At 44.8% G+C, this 17687-nt stretch overlaps 1 protein-coding gene across 1 annotated transcript in view, besides 2 other annotated features; it reads right to left on the bottom strand.

Moving 5' to 3' along the window:
* Positions 1325–1824: an enhancer, noted in NCBI's record as "H3K4me1 hESC enhancer chr20:58612067-58612566 (GRCh37/hg19 assembly coordinates)". NCBI's record gives its function as "activates a minimal SCP1, AML or CMV promoter by ChIP-STARR-seq in primed H9 embryonic stem cells {active_cell/tissue: H9 hESC(primed)}" and the evidence as "EXISTENCE:reporter gene assay evidence [ECO:0000049][PMID:30033119]".
* Positions 1825–2326: an enhancer, noted in NCBI's record as "H3K4me1 hESC enhancer chr20:58611565-58612066 (GRCh37/hg19 assembly coordinates)". NCBI's record gives its function as "activates a minimal SCP1, AML or CMV promoter by ChIP-STARR-seq in primed H9 embryonic stem cells {active_cell/tissue: H9 hESC(primed)}" and the evidence as "EXISTENCE:reporter gene assay evidence [ECO:0000049][PMID:30033119]".
* Positions 2902–17687, bottom strand: part of CDH26 (cadherin 26) — a 77512-nt gene continuing 62726 nt past the window's right edge. Inside the window, exons 12-13 of the mRNA XM_011528970.4 lie at positions 7410–7605; positions 2902–5350 (exon numbers count right to left, since the gene is read on the bottom strand). Of these exons, the coding sequence (XP_011527272.1) occupies positions 5160–5350; positions 7410–7605 (387 nt within the window). The 3' untranslated portion in view covers positions 2902–5159. The remainder of the gene's footprint in view (positions 5351–7409; positions 7606–17687) is intronic.

The raw sequence follows: 17687 nt of genomic DNA, 5'->3' as shown, positions 1-17687 counted from the left end.
TGCCTGGTAGGTTAGGTTCCACCCCTCATGACCTACTTCTGTCCTGCAACCACCCTTTGTTAGCATAAAACATCAAGGGGTGTGTTCGTTCACCCTTTAGTGCAACATACATTGATGAAGGTTTCACCTCTCACCAGCACTGTGTTGAGTATGGAGGCTACAGAAGAAGATAAGACACATCACTGGCCCCCAGTGAGCTCGCCTACAGCCTAGAGGAGGGGCAGACAAGCCAGGAGGCAGTGTGTTTTCCAGTGGTTCTGTGAGGCACTGCAGGGATCAGAGGAGAAATCTGGCCCAGTGACCATCCCTGCTGGCACCTGAAGGCTGAGAAGGAAAGAGCCAGGAAAACCTCAGTATGATTGGGACACAAAATTCCAGGCAGAGTGTGGAAGAGATAGGCTTGAGGGTGTCAAGTGCAGAATCTGGCCTTCCGTCCTGGGGGCAATGATGACAGGAATGCAACATGTGAAATCCACACTTCACAGTTAAACTCTCATGCGATGGGCGTGGAGTGCCCACAGAGTATGAATAAGAGGTGAGGAGGAAATACCCCTCCTGGAAACACCATCCACTCTTGAGAACCTAGGTGACTGTCTCCCATCTGAAAAGAGTCTGCAATAAAATAGTCTTTACAATTATTCAGAGTTTTCCCTGATCCTGCCAACCTCCGTACTTGATTTAAAATCTTTCCATCTGGAATTATTAGTCCAGAGCAGTTTATCAAAGAAAAGATGGATGGTGCAAGCCGACTGCTGCTAGCGTTCAGAAAAACGTGTTCTCTCTCTGCCATTCAGCGAAAGTTCTTTAATCACTGTTGATTGGAGGTTACCAACCTTGAATTGTTAGTTAATGGCATCTCTGCAAAGGAATGATTTATTGGGTGAGTAAACTTCGCAAACAAACACAGATCCTCCATTGCTGGCTATTTCATCGGAAGCTGAAATGTACATTATTTCAACTGTCTTTCTAGTGGAATCAAAATCCGAAGCAGAGGCAAATATTTAGCCTTGATCTCAGATTTCTCTGCCATCGAGATATTAAGAATACAGAAAGTCAAGGCACAGAAGAATCCCCAGATGTTCTGTTTCCAGTGTTCGCCTATGCTCTCAGGCTCCCTTGCAGCTGGCACCCCACCTGGGAGCAGCCTCCCTTTTGAGGATCACCATCGGGAGAGGAGCCTGTGGTTCAATGGCTGTACCTCTGTCACCTTTCACCAGGACCCTATCCTGAAACACCAGCCAGGGCCAGCACAACTCACTGCTGGAGGATCCCTGCTCTGCCACCTCTCCTTGGTCCATTTGTTCTCAAGCAAATGACATTGGAACCAAGAAAGGAATGTGCTCTGTTTGTCAATTGTCAGGCAGGGGACACATCTTCCCTTTCTTCCCTCAAAGAGGGACTGGTTCAGCCTCAAACCCTCTGAAGGGCAAGATCAGGGGAAGCAGGAATGCTGGAGCTTCCTCAGCCCTCTCCCCAGCCGTGTGAGTCACGGGTGCACCAGGCTCCCTCCTGCTGTCCCTCCACTGGGACACTGCCCCCTCCAGTTCGCTGTTCATACTCACAGGCAGCTCGGGCATTTGTGGGGCTTCCCCAACCCCCAGACTACGTCAGACCCCTGGAGATACACTCTCCTGATTCACAAACCTTTTGTGTGGCACTGAATGTAGTTATGATTGCATTTTTTTCTGTGTAGTTATTAGATTAATTTCCATCTCACCTCTTGGGAGGCTCATTGTTTTTGCTCCCTTCAGCATCCCTGGTGCCCAGTGTTGGAGCTGTGGTTGGTAACTAAGAATGACCAGTGGTTAGAATCACTTGAGAGAGCAAGAAAGCCCCTGGAGGTGGCAGGTGGAGAGCAACGTTTCCACTTCATTACCCAGAGGAGGCAGCTGACTCGGGCGTGTAGCTCATGGGCTGGCCAGCCCTTGCTGCTCCCTATGCCACCTGCAGCCAAGTCCCTGGGCAGCTCAGCATCCTCAGCTCTTTGTTAACAACTCTGGAGGAGGTAAGCAGAGCACCAGCAGCCAGGGGGAGATACAGCAAAATCTCTGCCATGATGGCAAGAGGACCAGAGCCCACACGTGACCTCGGGAGGTAGACAAGTCTCCCTGTGCGAGGACCATCGGGGCAGCCAGGAGGGCTGGTGGAGTTTCTGTAGATAGGGGTGGGGACAGGACTCCAGGATGAGGGCACAGAGTAAGCAAAAGCCTGGAGGGAGGCCCAAGATGGTCTCTGGGGTAAAGATCTGTAGCTGGGGTTTTGGGCTTCAGGCAGAAAAGGCAGGCTCATGGTTCGGAGGCCATTGAATGGAAATTCCCAGGCACTAGGGAACCACTGATGGGTTCTGATCCAGGGAATGTGTGGCGGGGGATCTTCTGGGGATGTTTGTACCCAACAGATGAGAGACACTGAAGCAGGGAGATTTGTCCAGAGGCTGGGGGAAGGGTGGCAATGGGGACAAGACAGAGTTTGGGGAGGTGATGCATGTCCAGGATGACTTCGCAGCTTAAAGGCTAAGCAGGTAGGAAACAGAGGTGACAGTGACCAGGATGAGAGATGGGCCATCAACCCACCACACATGAAACACGCAGCCAGGTCAGATTGCTGTGTTCCAGGGTCAAGTCTGGTTTGGTGCAGGAAGGTGCAGAAGTTTCTTGTCACCTCCTTTTCTCACCATTCAGAAATCAGTGTCCTCTTAAAGCCATAAAGAAGAGTGATACATTTGACTTCATCTTTTTTTTTTTTTTTTTTTTTTTTTTTTAGTTTTTGCATGGAAAAAGATATCAAAAACCAAAGGACAAACTGAAAAAAAGGTAACATAGATAACAAACAGAGCTAATATCCTCATATACTGTATTAGCCTGTTTTCACACTGCTTTCAAGAACTTCCCTGAGACTGGGTAATTTATAAACAAAAGAGGTTTAATTGATTCACAGTCTGTAGGGCTGGGGAGGCCTCGGGAAACTTACAATCATGGCGAAAGGGGAAGCAAACATGCTCTTCTTCACAAGGTGGCAGGAGAGAGAGAAGAGAAAGTAAAGTGGGGAAGAGCCCCAAATAAAACCACCAGGTCTCGTGAGAACTCACTCATTATCATAAGAACAGCATGGGGGAACCGCCCCCCGTGATCCAATCACCTCCCTCCCTCAACATGTGGGATCACAATTCGAGATGAGATTTGAATGAGGGCACACAGCCAAACCATACCACATACAAAGCATTCCTACAAATAAATAAAAAGGACCACCAACCTATCAGAAAAAAAAAAATGGGTAAATGACAAAAACAGGCAGTTCACAGGAAAATAAGTGGCTCATAAACATAATTTCATATGTTCCAGCTTCATTTATAATGAAAGTTATGGAGGTTAAGACTAAAATTACAGACCCTTTTTAAGTTATTTTACTTAGGCTGGTAAATATTTAAAAACTGATAATACACACTGCTGGTGGGAATGTTGGAAAACAATTTGTCAATAGGTATTAACATTGTAAACGTATGTTCCCATTCCTCTAGGAATTTCACTGCTAGGACTGTATCCTAACAATATGTTCATGCATGCATAGAAAAAGTGTGAATTAGAATGTTCTCAGCAGGACTGTTTGTTGTAGCAAAAAGCCAGAAATAGCCTGAATATTCTCAGCAGAAAACTGCTTAAGTTATAACACAGTCGTACAAACAATGACATAAAAACTCTAAAAAGTGCAATAACTATACCTATGTTGACAGGGCAGGATCTCTTAGGTGGATTGTTAGGTGAATAAATTAAAGTGTGGTTCAGTTTACACATTGGTATTAAAAATTTTAAATGATATGCATTTCTATTTAGAAGATACTATGAACCATAATCACCTCTGTGAAGGAGAACCAAAGAGCTCAGATCTGGGATGGGAAGGAGTCCAGCTCTGAGCTGTTGGAGCTTTGGTCCTGTCCTTGTCAGGCCTTCTGAGCCACTGGCCTTCCCCACCTGTGCCGGAGCCTCCACCATCAGGTTAAAGCCCACTGCTGTTGTTTGTGGTGTTCAGTCGCCAACCCATCCATCTCTCAGACTGGCTCTTTCAGAAAGTAAAACAGACAGGGCCTTGGCTCCAGTCTCCGACAATGTCAGGAAAACTTGCTGAAAGTGGCCTTTCATTTGAGCCTGAACACTAAAGGAGAACTGGCAGAAACACCCACCTGAAGGCAGCTGGGGGCTGGCTGACCTTTGTAGCTGGTGGGGGCCCTGGCGCCCACACTGCTGTCGGCTCTCCCCGGGCTGCCTCTGGAAAGCAGTCTCCTAAGTGCAATCTCTAGGCCCCTGACCAAGGTATTTTTAGCCACCCTCCCTGGTAGCCACGGCTCCGAGGCTATGAGCAGAGACTTCAAGGGCAGGGCCAGGGAACATTCCTGAACTCTGGGTCTCTGCTCTGGGCCTGGCTTGTTCCCAAGGCTAATTTAGAACTTTCCTGGCTACTCTTGTGACCTTTTGCCTCATGACCCTTCCCCCAGAGCACAAAGCTCTGGCCCCACAGTTCCTGACACAGCACTGTCTTTTCATGGTGAGCAGTGGCAGAGGGACATTGCCTTCCCTTCGAACAATGTGGCTTTATGGACAAATGGAGCTGGTGACACTCTGTCTTGAAGAGCAGCACTTCTAAGCTGGAATGCAGGGAGACACTCTCTGTCCCAGGGTTCCTGAAGCTTCAGCTCCCTGGGCTTCCCACCTTTGCTATATTGACAGTTCCTGGTTTTCCCTGTGCTGCCGGCTGCACTGATTCACCCTCTTCACCTATATATTCACTTTAGTTGCATCCTAAAACATAGGATATATGATATCATGGGTTGAACATGCTAGTTGCTTTTTTAATGCATTAAAGGAAGTTCTATGAGAATTTATAGAAGGGAAAAAAGAGAAAAAGTAATTCTTACATGCATATTGGATAAGCAGTGACCAGGCCAGTGGTGAGAAACATGGTGAACTGCCATCCACAGTTTGCAGAGGAAAAGTTATTTATGACCAGGGCTTTGCACATTATTTCTTCTTCATGATCACACACACACACACACACACACACACACACATCTTGTCTACCTGGATAATTGCCATCTCCTCCAGGAAGCCATTTCCAAGGCCCTCACCGCCAACAGCAGGCCCATGCCCCTCCACCGTACTCTCTGCTCAGCCTGAGACAGCCCTGCAATTGTGACCACCTGCCGATTCTCCTCTGTAGTCTCCTGGGAAACATGCCTTTTTGTTAAGGGGTGATGGGGAATGCGCACTCTGGACTCGAACCCCACCTTGTTCATTTCTCAGCTGCATAACCTTAAACAAGTGGCTCCTTTGCTTTCTCCCAGCCTTGTTCTCCTCATCTGCAAAATGGGGTGAAAACAGAAAGTGAGAATTAAATAACGTAGGCAAAATGGTAACACAGGCTTAGCATTCACTAAGCATTTGATAAGTATTTGCCACGTGCATGTATGCATGAAGGAAGGCAGCCTGTGTACACGAAGGAGGTTAAACAATAACCCACAGCTTCAGATCCACCAAAAATCTTATTACAAAGACAAGTTCCCGGGGCAGTGATGGTGGTAAGAGTAATAGCAATGACTTCTCAAAAAACCTGTAAGAGGGGTGTTACTATTTTCCCCATTTTACCGACAAAGCAATAAGGACTCAAAGTGTTGAATACACTTAATCAAGCTCACACAAGGTGAATAATAGAGCTGGTGTTAAGCCCTGGCTTCCTCCCAAACCAAAGCCAATGCTCTAAATGCCCACATCATGCGTCTTTCATACACTGTTTTTTGATCCTCTATGAGACACCAGGATTGGAAATGTGATTCTTTTTTTTTTATTATTATACTTTAAGTTTTAGGGTACATGTGCACATTGTGCAGGTTAGTTACATATGTATACATGTGCCATGCTGGTGCGCTGCACCCACTAACTCGTCATCTAGCATTAGGTACATCTCCCAATGCTATCCCTCCCCCCTCCCCCCACCCCACCACAGTCCCCAGAGTGTGATATTCCCCTTCCTGTGTCCATGTGTTCTCATTGTTCAATTCCCACCTATGAGTGAGAACATGCGGTGTTTGGTTTTTTGTTCTTGCGATAGTTTACTGAGAATGATGATTTCCAATTTCATCCATGTCCCTACAAAGGACATGAACTCACCCTTTTTTATGGCTGAATAGTATTCCATGGTGTATATGTGCCACATTTTCTTAATCCAGTCTATCATTGTTGGATATTTGGGTTGGTTCCAAGTCTTTGCTATTGTGAATAATGCCGCAATAAACATACGTGTGCATGTGTCTTTATAGCAGCATGATTTATGTTAGGCCCACATTCAAGTTCTTCGTAATTCCATCATCTAAATGAGTTTTGAGTTTCATTTCTGACTAACAACAGTAGAAATCCGCCTTACATTGCTAGAGGAACCACATGCATTCAGTATCTATGTGTTCATTCTCACCTCCTCGTCTCCCTGGCAAATAGATCATGGTCACAGGACTAGTTCTGGCCAATAGAATTTAATAGCCACTGTGCTTTCTTCATCTTTTCCCCTGCCACAGCCAACCTACAGGCCCAAATTGTGCACTTACTGGACTTTGCCTGATGATAAATAAACCTTCATTGGGTTAAAAGCCTTGGTGGTTTTACCTGTTTCAGCTGCCAGCATTAATTTCTCCGACTGATACACAGATGAATTTCAGGGTGAATTTCTCACTCAACTTCCCCCACACATTGCAAAGCTTGGGCTTTATGCCACCATTTTAATAATGATAGTTATTGAATTATAATACTGTGAGATTATGATTTTTCTTTACTATTCTTAGGCTGTTTGGCTTTTGAGAAACAACTTGGTGTCATTTCATATTAATAACTGACTTAAAGAAAGAGGCAGGCCTTCCATGCAGTGTCACCTGTGTCATGAAAGCTAATAGAAGCAGACAGCTGCCTGTTGGGGTCTTGATTTACAAATCGCATGACAGATGAAGTCCATAGGCTTCCAAAGTGGGAGGATGAAAACTTTAAAAAACAAAACCAGAAACTGGGAAAGTGAAGACAGTGGCCGCCACCCAGCTCCATGATAAACTCCCAAGAGGCTGTGAGCCAGCGTGGGAAGAACACAGCCCTCTCACCTTTGGCCCCCCAACTCTCTCCCAGCCTCTCTGTAAAGAACTTTGCACATCACACAAAGCCAATCAGCAAAATACAACAAAATACATCAACTGCTCTGGGAATTACAAGCAGAATTCTGTGAAGATCATACTCCTTTCATCTGAAGAAACTGAGGATGTTTTTACAAATAATTAATTCAATTGATTTAATTCTCAAGGATTAACTTGAACGCCTGAATTCATAACTGAATCTTTTTTAAAAGGAGAAATCTAGTACATGCAAAAATATAGAGACTCAAACCTTCCTTGTGGTCATAAACAACTTTCTTGAAAGAGGGTGTTCGAGCCAAAGCCCCGTGTTTCCGTTTACCAGTCTGCGTTAGTCTCCGTGGCATCATCTCCTTGTAAATGTCTTGTGGCAATCCTCGCCCAGCTGTGGCTCTTCCCTGGGGGATGATGCAGCCCCTGCTGAGGCTGAAGCGATTTCTCTCTTTAGACTACACAAAGCAGGTAAGAGGTGCTCATTAGAAGGTTCTCCTGGAAAGCTGGACTTCCAGTTCATCCCCACTGCTACATTCCCGCCAGCACCATGACAGTTTACAAATGCCATGGCAACATCAGGAAGTTATCCTACATGGCCTAAAAAGGGGAAGCATGAATAACCCACCCCTTGTTTAGCATATCATCAAGAAATAACCATAAAAATGTGCAACCAGCAGCCCTCGAGGCTGCTTTGTCTATGGAGTAGCCATTCTTTTATTCCTTTACCTTCTTAATAAACTTGCTTTCACTTTGAAAAACAAAAACTTTTGAAGGAAATGTTTTCACTCCGGGCTGGTTTCCAAAAACTTGAATCAAGCACAAAAGTGAATTCACTGGTGCAGGTAATTGTCCAAGGGGAGTCATGGCTTCTTAACTAGGTGCAGGACTTAAGCAATGTCATTAGAACCCACTCCACTCCCTCTCAGCTCACTTCCATGCTTCCCACATCTGGTGGCCCCCAACCACTCTGCCTCTTCCCCTCATGTTCTCAAGGTTGCTGCAACTGCCCCTGCACTTACAGCCTCTCAGCTTCAAAGTCCATCCAAAGAGTTGGAAAGACCCTGGGCCCCACTCTCACTGGCTCAGTTTGGGTAAAATGCACATCTCTGAACTAATAGTGGTGGCCAACGGGGTGGGCTACATTAGCTAGTTAAAATCTTCCAGGATCTGCCTCTGGAACTTACAGAAACAGAGGATGAAGAGATGGGGAACTACCCAAAGGAAGTCCAGATGTTTTCCTAGAAGAAGGTGAAGGGATACTGAAAAAAACAAAAACAAAACAAAACAAAAAAAAGCAAACAAAAAAAAACCCAGATACTTAAAACACCAACAGACCAAAGTTTCTCTGCTGTGATTGACTTCAAATCACCCTGATGTCCTGGAATGCTGAGGCTCTGGAGAACTCAGGTGGAAAACCCTCCAGTCAAAATGAATCCTCAATTTTTCAAATAGACACAGGCCCAGACTGGGGAAGTCACCCAGCAAAAAGGTAGCAGAGCTCCACAAAACTTGATTCTGGTGATGGTATACTATCATATCAGATTGTAGATATTCAATATATGTCTTTTTTTATATTAACATATCAGTTATACCTCAATAAAACCAGGGGTTGTGGGGGAAGGTGGCAGAAGGGATCCCCAGTTCACTTTCTTTCTCCCTTCCTTGTTTTTCAACCTCAGTGAAGACTGAATCTCTTGTCTCTCAGTGACCATGTGTTCCTTTGCTTTTATATATTATTTATTTATTTATTCATTTATTCATTTATTTATTTTTGGTGGTAAGGACACTTGACATGAGACCTACCCTCTTAAGAAATGTTTAAATGTGCACATATACACCGTGGAATACTATGCAGCCGTAAAAAAGAATGAGTTCATGTCCTTTGCGGGGATGTGGATGAAGCTGGAAGCCATCATTCTCAGCAAACTAATGCAGGAACAGAAAACCAAACACCACATGTTCTCACTCATAACTGGGAGTCGAGCAATGAGAACACATGGACGCAGGGAGGGGAACATCACACACTGGGGCCTGTTGCGGGGTGGGAGGCAAGGGGAAGGAGGGCATTAGGACAAATACCTAATGCATGCAGGGCTTAAAACCTAGATGACGGGTTGATAGGTACAGCAAACCACCATGGCATATGTATACCTATGTAACAAACCTGCACCTTCTGCACATGTATCCTAGCACTTAAAGTAAAATGTTGAAGTGCATTGTTGACTATAGATGCTACGTTGTTGACTATAGGTGCTATGTTGTTGACTATAGGTGCTACGTTGTTGACTATAGGTGCTACGTTGTTGACTATAGATGCTACGTTGTTGACTATAGGTGCTACGTTGTTGACTATAGGTGCTATGTTGTTGACTATAGATGCTACGTTGTTGACTATAGGTGCTACGTTGTTGACTATAGGTGCCACGTTGTGCAGCAGACCTCTAGGACTGATTCCTCTCATGTAACTGTAACTTTATACCCGTTGACAAACAGATCCCCATCTCCCCCACCCCATCTCCTGGAAACTACCATTCTATCTTCTGCATTTTCATCTGACTCTTTTTGATCACTCACATCGGTGAAACCTTCCAATCCTCATCCCTCTGTGTCCCCCTTATTTCACTTAATAGAATGTCTTCCAGACCTATCCATGTTGTTGCAAATAGTAGGATTTCCTCTTTTTGGAAGGCTGAATAGCATCCCCTTGTGTGTCTATATCGCGTCTCTTTACTTGTTCATTTATCTGTGGACATTGAGGTTTTTTCCACACCATGGGGACCGTGAATAACGCTGCAGCGAACGTGAGAGTGCAGATACCTGTTTGAGATCCGGATTTCTATTCTTTGAATATATCCTCAGAAATGGGATTGCTGAATCCTACTGTAGTTCCATTTTTAATTCTTTAAGGAATATCCATATTATTTGTCACAGCAGCAGTACCATTTTACATTCCAATCAGCAGTGTACCAGGGTTCAGATGTCTCCACAACCTCACTTGCCATGTCAGCCTAAGACACGCTATCCTCACAGGCCAGGCTGCAGCCTCCTGATCAGCCCTGCCTCCCAGCTGTTGCCCATGCTGTGTCCCTCTGAATGTCTCCTGCCTATGAACTCCCTGCTCAGCGTTTTGAATCATCTCCTTCTGCAAGCTTTTCTCTCCCTCCACTGCCCCCTCTGCATCACAGGGACTGGCACGTAAATGCTTTTTTATTTGGATTGCCTCTCGCTAAATCAATAAACATAGAGTGCCTACTACATGTCAGGCCCTGGGGATTCAGCCACAACCAGTTCCTTCCCTCAAGGAGCCTGCAGTCCCAGTGGGGAAGACAGGCTTTTAAAAACGTGGCAGATCAAAAGAACCCAATCTCAAAGGATTACATACTGTATAATCCCATTTATATCACATTACATAAGTGAAAACATTTTAAAAATGTTTAAAGCTGATGGTCACCAGTGGTTGCAAGAGTGAGTGGGAAGAGGAGAACAGGTGTGGTTATACTGGAGCAGCCTGGAGGTCCTGGGGGTGCTGCCCTGCTCAGCACCTTGTTCAGCATCAGTCAGTGGTGATGATTACACAGACCTACCCAGGTGGCAAAACAGTGCAGAACTTAATGCATACACAGAAGAGCACAGGTGAAACCAAGAAGCATGAGTAAGGTAGGTGGAGCATTTCAATATCAGTGTCCTGGTTGTGATACTGTCCAGTTGTCTGGTCAGATGTTACCCTGAGAGAAAACCGAGTGAAGGGTATGAGACCTCTTTGTATTATCTGTTACAAATGCATGTGAATCTATCATTATTCCAACCAAAATTTCAATTTTAAAAGGTAGCAGGTCACCCACATAGAATATAAACTTAAATTATTTAAAATTAAATAAAATCAAAAATTCAGGTCTTCCAGCTTGGTAGACACATTTCCAGTACTCAGGGACCACCCATGGTGGCTGCTGTGCTGGGCAGCACCGACCATTTTCATCACTGCAGATCCTGCTGTCGGCCAGCAATAGTCTATACCTCTCTGGGATGTGGGTTACACAGTTGAGTGCGTTCGTCAAAACTCATGGAATGGTGAAGTTAAGACCTATGCATTTCATTTGTAAATTTTACCTTTAAAAGTATCAAACTCAACACTACCTAGGCAAAGTATTTAGGGGTAAAGTATACTGATGTCTGCAACTTACTTTGAAACACATCGAAGAATAGGATGAAAGAAGAAGAAAGAGGATATAGAGGAAGAGGAGGAGGAAGAGGAAGAAAAGAAAAAAGAGGGATGGAAAGATGCATTGATGTGTGTTAAAGCAAATATAGCAAATGTTAACTACAGAATCTAGATGATAGGTATGCATGACTTCATTGTACAATTCTTTCAACTTTTCTATATCGAGGGAAAAAAACAACAGAGATTCAAATGTGACCCTATGACCATCACCCTCCCACCACTGTCCTTCTTTTTCACCTGAGCCATATACAAGCAGTGACCTTGAGGCCCCTACTGGCTGAGGGGACAGAATCAGAGTCTTGTGATCACATCAGCACTACTTCTCCTCTGCCCAAGACCATAACCCTGTCCCCAGAGAGCTAAGTGACCACCTACTGCCCCTACCCTCCGCATGCCCCTCAACACACACACATACACGCTGTCCTGGCTCCATTTGCTGCTGTGGCCCCTCGTGTCTTCTCCAGCCTTCTTGCAGGAGCCGCATACCAATAGTCGCCATATCACTCATTCACTCAGTGAGCACTTAATGAGCACTTATGCTGTTCCAGACACTGTTCCAGGCACTGGAGATGCCTTGACAAAGCTTCCCTGTGGAAGTTTACATTCATGCTAAGGTTTGATGTCATACAGATTACCAGAAAATTCCCTGCTTAAAAGCAGCATAAATTTACCCTACAGGGTCTGTAGGTCAGAAGTGTGGGCACAGTGCAGTTCAGCTTGTTCTCTGCCCTGAGTTTCACAGAGCCAAAGTCAAGGCATCAGCCAGGCTGCACTCCTTCCTACAGGCTCTGGGGGAGAATGCATGCCCAAGCGCTCTCAGGTTCTTGACCAAATGCAGGTCCTTGTTTGTGGGACTGAGGTTCTTGTGTCCTTGCTGGCAATCACCAGTGGGGTGAGGGGATGCTCAGATCCTGGAGGCCATCCACATTCCTTGGCTTGTGGCCCCCTTCAAAGCCACTAATGGCAGGGTGAGTGCTTTTCTTGCTTCCGGTCTCTGTGAAGTCCCTTCTGCCTCACCTCCCTTCTGCCTCCTCTTCTCCCTCTCTCTCTCTCTCTCTCTCTCTCTCTCTCTCTCTAACTCCAGCCAGAGAGCTGTCTCCACTCTCGTGGGCTCATAGAATTGCACTGGGCCCACACACAAGATGCAAGATCAATGCCCTATTTTACAATCAGCTGGTTATTCACCTTAATCCCCTCTGCAAATTCCTTCACAGTAATGCCAGATTAGAGTATGAGTTGAAAGGCCTCAGGAATCTTGGGAGGATGTCTTCACCATTCTGCTCCCCATAGGGAAACAAACGATAAACCCCAGAGCAAACACAGACTTCCCAGAGCGGGTTAAGGCAACAGTCACTTTGTGGGACTTCACCTCCTACTAGATTCTAAGTCAGAATGAAGCCTTTTTCGGGCCATGCATCCCAGTGAGGCCTGGTGCCTGGCTCTGGGCTCTGAGAAAGCTAACACCACAGATTCCACATAAATGAAATAGTGTCCAGCACATAAGGTCCATTTCGGTAGATTGAAAGCATTCAACACTACGCCGGGTTCATTTTGATCAGGGGCAAGCAGCTCCTAATCACCTTTATTGTATTTTCAGACTCTTGGTTTAAGGGTGTTTTGATAAAGGACAGTGTTAGCTGGAGTCAGTGCTTGGCAGTCTAGGTGCTGGGGAAACTGGCAGTGCCAGCCCAGGGTTGGCGATCTAGGTACACACTTACCCCACTGCTTAATACTCCTCTCAGTTGGGCTGAGAGAGGAAGTTTTTAAAAACATTTAAAACAGGTATGCCCAAGGGCTCAAACCCTCTACAGGCCCATGTGGGAATGAATGGCCTTGTGCCTCAGGTAACGAGTTCATCTGCCCTTCACCACACCTGCTCCCAGCCCAGAAGGGTGTCGCTGAGGCTGATCACCCACCTGCTTACCCCGAAGGCCCTGGAGGACTTCTGGCAGTTTCCAAAAATCAAATCCAAGCTCAAAAGGACACTGTGACATTGTGAGGTCAGTGGAAAGGGATATTTAAAAGGATATGCCATGGGGCAGTGACAGGCATTTTGGAAGAGAATTTTAGGAATCTGTTAAGCAATAGTGTAGCACGGTGTAAGGAGGAAACTCACTCATTGTACATATACTTGTTTAAACATAATGGGAAAAATCTGTTCACTGAATGCATTTAACTCATCGAGGCAATCACTCTAAAGCATAGCACACGTTTATGCATCAGTGGTTTTCTATTTATTGGTTTGTTTTTTAGGCCACATTACTGGGGCTACTTAGTATTAAGTTCGACGATGAATGACAGAACACAGTGCCCCCACAAATGCTGACTTACATTTATTTCTCTTTTGTAAAAGTTTGGGGATCCAGGCCTTTTTGGCCTGCCAGTGTGAGGGACTCTGGCTCCTTCCAACACAGGATTCCACTGTGGATGCCTCCCTTCCCAAGCTCTGCAGATAGTCCCCCTTCAGGTCGGCAGCCAGCCTGCAGGGAGAGGGAGGAGAGGCAGAGGAGGGCGCACCTGCTCTCTGCAGGACCCTTCAGAACTTGCACGACCACCTCTGCTGCCACTACATGAATCCCATTGGCCAGAACTTAGTCACCTGGTCACAGCTAGGTCAAGGAAGTCTGAGAAATGCATTGTACATTTGGGAAAGCCATAGCCCTGGCTAAATTCAGGGTTTTATTTCTTAAGAATAAGGAAAGAAGAGATCATGGGAGTGGGTGGGGAGATAGTAGTTTCTGCTACAGTCCACTCCTTTGGCCACCCACAGACCTGTGTGAGCCTTTCTTCCCATACACAGAACATGCTCATCTCTTGCCCCCAAGAGATACATCTGCAAAATTCCATCCAATCACTGCATCTGACTCTAGATCTGGCAACCCAGGGTAAAGCACAGTCCTTTCTCTGAGATATGAATGAGGATTTTAATGGTTTGACAAACTACAAACTAAGTAATAAGTTACTTGCTCTCAATACATCCAACATAAGGGAGATGAGTAAGAACAGAAGAGCTGTGACTAAAACTATCACTTGGTAGTTGGAGGCTGATAAACACAGCCATCATCATCTACACACGTGAGCAAATCCCAGTGGGCAGGAAGAGTGGAGTCTCCTTCTGTAGCATCACCCGCCATGGCCATGGCCTTGTGTTCTCAGAGGCTCTTCCCTACTATTATCTCCCCTGCCGTACCCAGTGTGGGGGGCAAAGGGTATGCCCTTCCTGAGGCTACACAGCGTTCACAGTTTGCTTCTTGCTTTGAAGGTTGGTTGTTCCAACCCCCCAGAGGAATCACTTTGGGGTTAAACAATCACAAGCTTTTGCAGACAGACCAAACTGCTGGTTTCTTTGGTAAAACAGTTTTTCAAAAACATAAAGACTTCAGATCTACTTGTTTCCGGTGAGCTCTTCTGTGAAGACACGTTTTTAATGCTGAAACTTCTGGTTTTTCCTTATGGGCCTCCATGCTCTGCTGATATTTCTCTCTCTCTCTCTCTCTCTCTCTCTCCCTCTGTCAGCATAATGGTACCCACCTGGAGCCATGGGAAGGAAGGGCTTAGCTGGGAAGACAAAACCCTTCAAATGACTTTTGACACAAGGTTCCAAATTGGCAGGATGGGGCACTAGTTTTATTTTCTGCTAAGCAGGCTGCTTTGCAGAAACCATTTCTACGACTGATATAGTTTGTGAAACACAGCAGTTGTTTTTTCAACCCTGCAAGGCTCCAAATTACCAAGCTCTCAGTCAACTTAAATTGCAGACTGCAGGTAGAGTGCCTCCATTAGCACACTGTGTTTCCTTTCATTCTTGCTCAGGTACTGGCCAGCAGTAGCCAAAGTCCAGCTCTCTCTTGTAGAACATTGCTAAAAGCAGTGATAAGCAGCTAATGCTTTTTTTTTTTTAACATTATAAATTTCTCCTGCCATTTCCTGCCTCAGTCCTTATTCAGGACATGGGCTGCTTTTCAAAAAACAATGGGCAGTGGTTTTTATCAAATGCTTTGTTTCTGTATAACAAGGGTCACTGGCTCTCTAGCTCACAATATTTGAGCCCCTGCCGCCTGAACACATCCATTAAGCCAAGGCCACGTGCTTCGGTTCTGCTACTTGTAGCTCACTTCTCTTGGTCTCTATTTTGTATCAGTTAAGATTAGACCTGGCCATGAATGACAGAAAATCCAAAAGAGCAATGGCTTAAACAAGACACATTTAATTCTTCCTCACTTTGAGTCTAGAGGAAGGTGGTTCAGGAGTGGAGTAGGGCTCCCTGGTGCACAGGCACCTCTGCCTCTTCTATCCTGCACTACACTGTGTATCAGCTCTGACGGCAGTGACCAGAATGGCTGCCCCACCTCCAGCCATCACATTCTAATTCCAGCCAGTAGAAGAAGAGGGAAACAGACACATCTCCACCCTCTTCAAGGACACTTCCTGGAAGTTGCCTCCCATTGGCCAGAATTTAGTCACATAGCCATGCCTAGCTGAAGTGGAGGATGGGAAATGTTGCTGCCATTCTGCCTGGCAAGTGCACAGCAAGAATCAGGGTTCTTTTACTGGGGAAGAAGAGGTAACATGTTTTAGGGCAATCAGCAGTCTCTGCAGCCTCATACTTGCACAAAATTTCAGCAGTAGAATGCTTGTGTTGGGAACAGTGAAAGGACTGTTTTCATGGCTCCAGAATTCTTTATCCTTCTCCTTCTTCATAGCAGATTTGTTTGGCCTTTGACACACAAATTTCAGAGAAGACAATGACTAGACAAGGGTTGCAGTCTCTGCCACACAGAAAAACTCTCTGATGAGAGGAAACCATCTTAGAAACGCCCTCTATTTGGCACTGTCTTGATATCCTTGACGGCTGCCACAGGTCATCTTTGAGGGGACCGTTGCTATGCCTACTTCACAGAAACATACAATGAGGTCTCCTCGGTCAGTGTTTCACTTGGGAAAAGGAAAGTTTTAACAACTGAGGTATCTGCTGTGTTTAGTAAATCATAAAAGTAAGCACAATGAACATCTTAGATGAAAAGCTCCACAAAACCAATCAGATTGTTATTGCACATAAAAACCAAAATTGATGAAATGCAAAATAAATATTTAACTTCTCAGACTGCCGCTATCTTTGGACTGCTGGGTAATTTGGAGGCTAATGTTCATAATAAAATCACATTTTCTCTGAAAATATTTACTATTTCTGTTTATTGCCTTATTCATTGCCGTTAGCAAGAATTAGTTTAATTCATGAGTATATGTGAATTCCATTACAAGCTAGGAATTTTCACCAAAACCTCCTGGTGCTGATATTTCTAATGGATGCTTTCTTTAAGCATGTAGGTAGACTTGAGAATGAACTTGGGAGGAGGACCAGCAGACATCCAGGAATGTCTCCTGCAGACATCAGTTGGGGAAGGTGATAATATATAATATAGACTTGCATGTAAAGGGAAAGGCTGAAATATCCTATGCCAGGGGTACTTCATAAAGATGCCAACATGACCATTTTCTTCACTGGACACTATAATTCCAAGACCGAAAGGCCTATGAAAATAGTCAGGATATATATATATATATATATGTGTGTGTGTGTGTGTGTGTGTGTGTGTGTGTGTGTGTGTGTGTGTGTACAGATAAGGATATCGGCTTCAAAATACACAAAGAAGACAGCAAACTAAAAATTCATAAATGTCTAACTAAATATCTATAAAACATGATATTTTGTTACCTCATTAATTGTTAAATTTGTTGTTCATGAGTATTGCATGAATATTTTATTACTATTGAAAACAATTTGTCAGAGAGCATCTCATAATGCAGGAATTCACAAATAAGCAAAACTGCTGACATTTTGTAGCCAGTAGTAAGCTAAATAAGTTACCCATAGTCAAAAGCAAATTTATTTAAAACCTTTCAAAATTTGTATGGCAATGTGTTCATTTTTAATGTAAGGTATGAATACATCTTAAGATGTCTGATATGATGTAGAGGTTCCAAATAGAATTCCCCAGAGAAGGAGTCAAGCACACTTTTTCTATGAAGAGCCAGAAAGTAAATATGAAGGCTTTGTGGGCTGTGGGGTCTCTGTTGCAATTACTCAGCTCTGCTGCTGGAACACAAAGGGAGCCATAGATAATACCTAAACAAATGAGCATGGTTGTGTGCCAACAAAGCTTTATTTATAAGAACAGACAGTGTGCTATATTTGACTCATGGTAGTAAGGCAAATCTAGAAGGTCTAATAACCACCTATTGCCCTTACCAACAATTCAGACTCAGAAGTATATGTTTCTGGGAGTGACATCAGCAAGATGGCTGACTAGAGATGTC

This window comes from Homo sapiens, chromosome 20 (assembly GCF_000001405.40).
Source record: "Homo sapiens chromosome 20, GRCh38.p14 Primary Assembly".
NCBI classification, from domain to species: domain Eukaryota; kingdom Metazoa; phylum Chordata; class Mammalia; order Primates; family Hominidae; genus Homo; species Homo sapiens.
This window is presented reverse-complemented; position numbering and strand designations above follow the sequence as displayed.